Source organism: Homo sapiens, chromosome 1 (genome assembly GCF_000001405.40).
Source record: "Homo sapiens chromosome 1, GRCh38.p14 Primary Assembly".
Classification (NCBI taxonomy): domain Eukaryota; kingdom Metazoa; phylum Chordata; class Mammalia; order Primates; family Hominidae; genus Homo; species Homo sapiens.
In genome coordinates, this window is record NC_000001.11 from 196,000,198 (window position 1) to 196,003,952 (window position 3,755).

A 3,755-nucleotide genomic window follows, 5' to 3' on the forward strand; every position below is an offset into this window, starting at 1 on the left:
GTGGCAGGGATGGAGGTTACGCATAGGTTCAGCAACATGGACTTCCACTCACCAAGGCTGACCTGGCTATGGCCACTGCTGAGTGCCCAGTTTGCCAGTAGCAAAGACCAACACTGAAGTGGTTGGTTTGTTCCTCAATAAGGCACCATTCCTTGGGTAGATCAGCCAGCTGCCTGGTGGCGGCTTGATTATATTGGACCTCTTCCATCATGGAAAGGGCAGAGGTTTGTCCTCACCCAAATAGACATTTACTGTGGATATGGATTTGCCTATACTATACTCAATGCTTCTGCCAAGACTACTATCCGTGGACTCACGAAATGCCTTCTACACCTTCATGCTATTTCATACAGCATTGCTTCTGACCAAGGCAGTCATACTTTACAACCAAAGGAGTGTGGCAGTGGGCTCATGCTCACGGAATTATTGGTCGTACCATGTTCCCTATCCTCCTGAAGCAGCTGGATTGATAAAATGGTGGAATGGCCTTTTGAAGTCACAATTACAATTCCAACTAGGTAACAATCCTTTGCAGGGCTGGGGCAAAATTCTCCAGAAGTTTGTGTATGTTCTGAATCAGCATCCAATATATAGTACTGTTTCTTCCAGAACCAGGATTCATGGGTTCAGTAATCAAGGGGTAGAAGTGGAAGTGGCACCATTCACCATCACCCCTAGTGACCCACAAGCAAAATTTTTGCTTCCTGTTTCTGTGACATTACATCCTGCTGGTATAGAGGTCTTAGTTCCAGAGGGAAAAATGCTGCCACCAGGAGACACAACTGTGATTTCATTAAACTGGAAGTTATGATTGCCACCTAGTCACTTTGGGATCCTCCTACCTCTAAGTCAACAGGCTCAGAAGACAGTTACGGTGTTGGCTGGGGTGACTGACCCAGACTATCAAAACGAAATCAGTCTACTACTCCACAATAGATGTAAGAAAGAGTATGTGTGGAATACAGGAGATCCCTTAGGGCATCTCTTAGTATTACCATGCCCTCTGATTAAGGTCAATGGGAAATTACAACAACCCAATCAAGGCAGCACTACAAATGGCCCAGACCCTTCAGGAATGAAGGTTTGGGTTACTCCACTAGGTGAAAAACCATGATCTGCAGAGGTGCTTGCTGAAGGCAAAGGCAGTACAGAATGAGTAGTAGAAGGTAGTCATCAGTACCAGCTATGACCACGTGACCAGTTGCAGAAACGAGGATGGTAATTGTCATGAGTATTTCCTCCTTATTTTGTTAAGAACATGTTTGTGCATGTATGCACTTGAGCTAAGAAAATATCTACATTTTATTTCCTTTCCTTTTTCTTTATCATATGACATAAGATTTATTGACTTCATATCAACATTTAAGTGTTGTTAACTTTACGTAATAGCATTTAGGTTAAAGATTAGTGTGCTTCTGGTTGTACGAAGGATAGCTGGATTATGTTAGGCATAATTATGACCTTATTATTGTCTTTATTTGAAGATTATATCTATAATTTCAGGAGATGTGTATGGGTTCAAGTTGACAAGGGATGGACTTGTGATGATTAACATTAGGTGTCAACTTGATTGGATTGAAGGATGCAAAGTATTGTTCCTGAGTGTGTCTGTGAGCGTGTTGACAAAGGAGACTAACATTTGAGTCAGTGGACTGGGAGAGGCAGACCCACTCTCAATCTGGTTGGGCCCAATCTAATGAGCTGCCAGTGCAGCCAGAATACAAATAGGCAGAATGTGGAAGGCCTAGGCTGTCTGAATTGTCTGGCCTCCATCTTTCTCCTGTGCTGGATGCTTCCTTCCCTTGAACATCAGACTCCAAGTTCTTCAGGCATTGCGGGATCTGACCAGCAGCCCGCAATGCAACGGGGCTCTCTCTTTGTTCCCAGGTGGATCGGCAGGTTGAGAAATAATAGACACACGCAAGATAGTGAAAGCTGGGTCCAGGGGGGTCACCACCTTCTGGTCCCATAGTGCCAACGATGCACTGGATATACCAGCATTTATTATTAAGTTTAGTGAGGGTGGGTTTCGGTTAGTGAGGGATTTAGGGTCATTTGATTATGAGGTGAGATGGTCACATGGCGATGAAGTAATTCTTTAACATAACATTTGTATGTAGAAGTACAGTACATTTGTATGTAGAAGTACAGTATACAGAGATAAGAATTTACAATATAGTGTGTGCGTCACCTTAGAACCTTAAAACAGAAACACAATCTTGCCATAACCTATGATTAGCAAGATATTAATCAGCAGTAATAATTGCAACAAAGGGTGGTTACAAACAATCCATGGAAACAGGCCGTGAAGCTAGACAACCGGTTAGACCAGAAATTCTAAGGGAGTATGCCTTAACCCTAAAGAGGCCTAGAAGAGCCATGGCAAGATGAGGGCCTTTATAGCCCTATCTTATCCATATGGACAGGCACCCCCCATGCGTCCTTTTACAGGCTCTCCACAAGGGTTGCATTCCATTCCCAGAGCTATGAACATCTGCTTTTCTGGGATAGGAATCTTGGTGATGTGAAACCTCCCTGACTGCACGTGCATTCATAGGCTCTCTGCAGGGGGAAGCACATCACATGCTGTTGGCTTGTTCTGGCAGTCCAACCTGGCGTTGTCTTTACACAATCCTGCATGCAATTTTGTATTTACAGTAATCAGGAGCATTTCATCTTTTATTCCATAGCAATAGTTTCAGGGGATCTCCCTACATTCAGGTTTTGGACCCTTGGACTTACACCAGTGCTTTGTCAGGGGCTCTCAGGCCTTTGGCCACAGACTGAGGGTTGCACTGTTAGCTTCTCTACTTTTGAGGTTTTGGGACTTGGAGTGGCTTCCTGGCTCCTCAGCTTGCAGACAGCCTATTGTGACACTTCGCCTTGTGATGGTGTGAGTCACTTTTCCTAATACACTCCCCTTCATGTATTCACCTATCCTATTAGTTCTGTTCCATTAGAGAACGCTGACTAATATGCAGGTCTAACACCCAGAGTCTACATACCTTTCATCTACTAGTGCTCAAGACAACCTATCCGTGTCAGTGTCACAAGCTCTATAAGCAAATCTGTACTGCAGACACATTAAGTAATTTGAACAAGGATCACGGGCAAGTAGTATCTTAAATTCAATGCTATTAGGCTCTATTCTAGTATGCCACGCTGTTATCCTAAACCAATCCTAACAGTTTAGCTATTTCTATGAAGGAAAATCCAAAATACAAAGATAATTTATTTTCCTTGAAGTCCTTTCAAAATATTTATTATAAATAGGTGGAGAAAATTTTTTTTTCTACATCTAGTTGATTCTTTTGGGGGAAACTTTTCTCAACCTCTGATTATACTAACATCTTAATATTACCTCTACCTTTACTCCAGTGTAAAAAAGGAATTAAAATATTCATTCCACAAACTTACTGTGATAAATATTAGATATGTGTACCTATAGTTTTTGTGCAGTAAAACTATCATTGCCTGTGATAGATTCTTATTTACCATGTTAATATTTGATTTTGAATGGTTTTGACTATCCAGGTAGAAAGTAATTGTTTATTTTGACATGAGTAATAATCACTGAGGTTTAAATATTGTATTTTTCTAAGGGGTGAATGTTGGAGAACCACACTAATTCATCAGGATTAAATTCTTGATGTTTTACTGCTGCGGAGTTTTAAAAGTGTTGTCTTTTGGCCATACTGAACCCCAACTATCAAAAGTTCTTATCTAAATTATTTACAGCTGTAAAGAAATTTCAG

The 3,755-nt window shown here is 41.5% G+C and overlaps 1 annotated feature.

Moving 5' to 3' along the window:
* Positions 2,536 to 3,036: an enhancer, noted in NCBI's record as "H3K27ac hESC enhancer chr1:195971863-195972363 (GRCh37/hg19 assembly coordinates)". NCBI's record gives its function as "activates a minimal SCP1, AML or CMV promoter by ChIP-STARR-seq in naive H9 embryonic stem cells {active_cell/tissue: H9 hESC(naive)}" and the evidence as "EXISTENCE:reporter gene assay evidence [ECO:0000049][PMID:30033119]".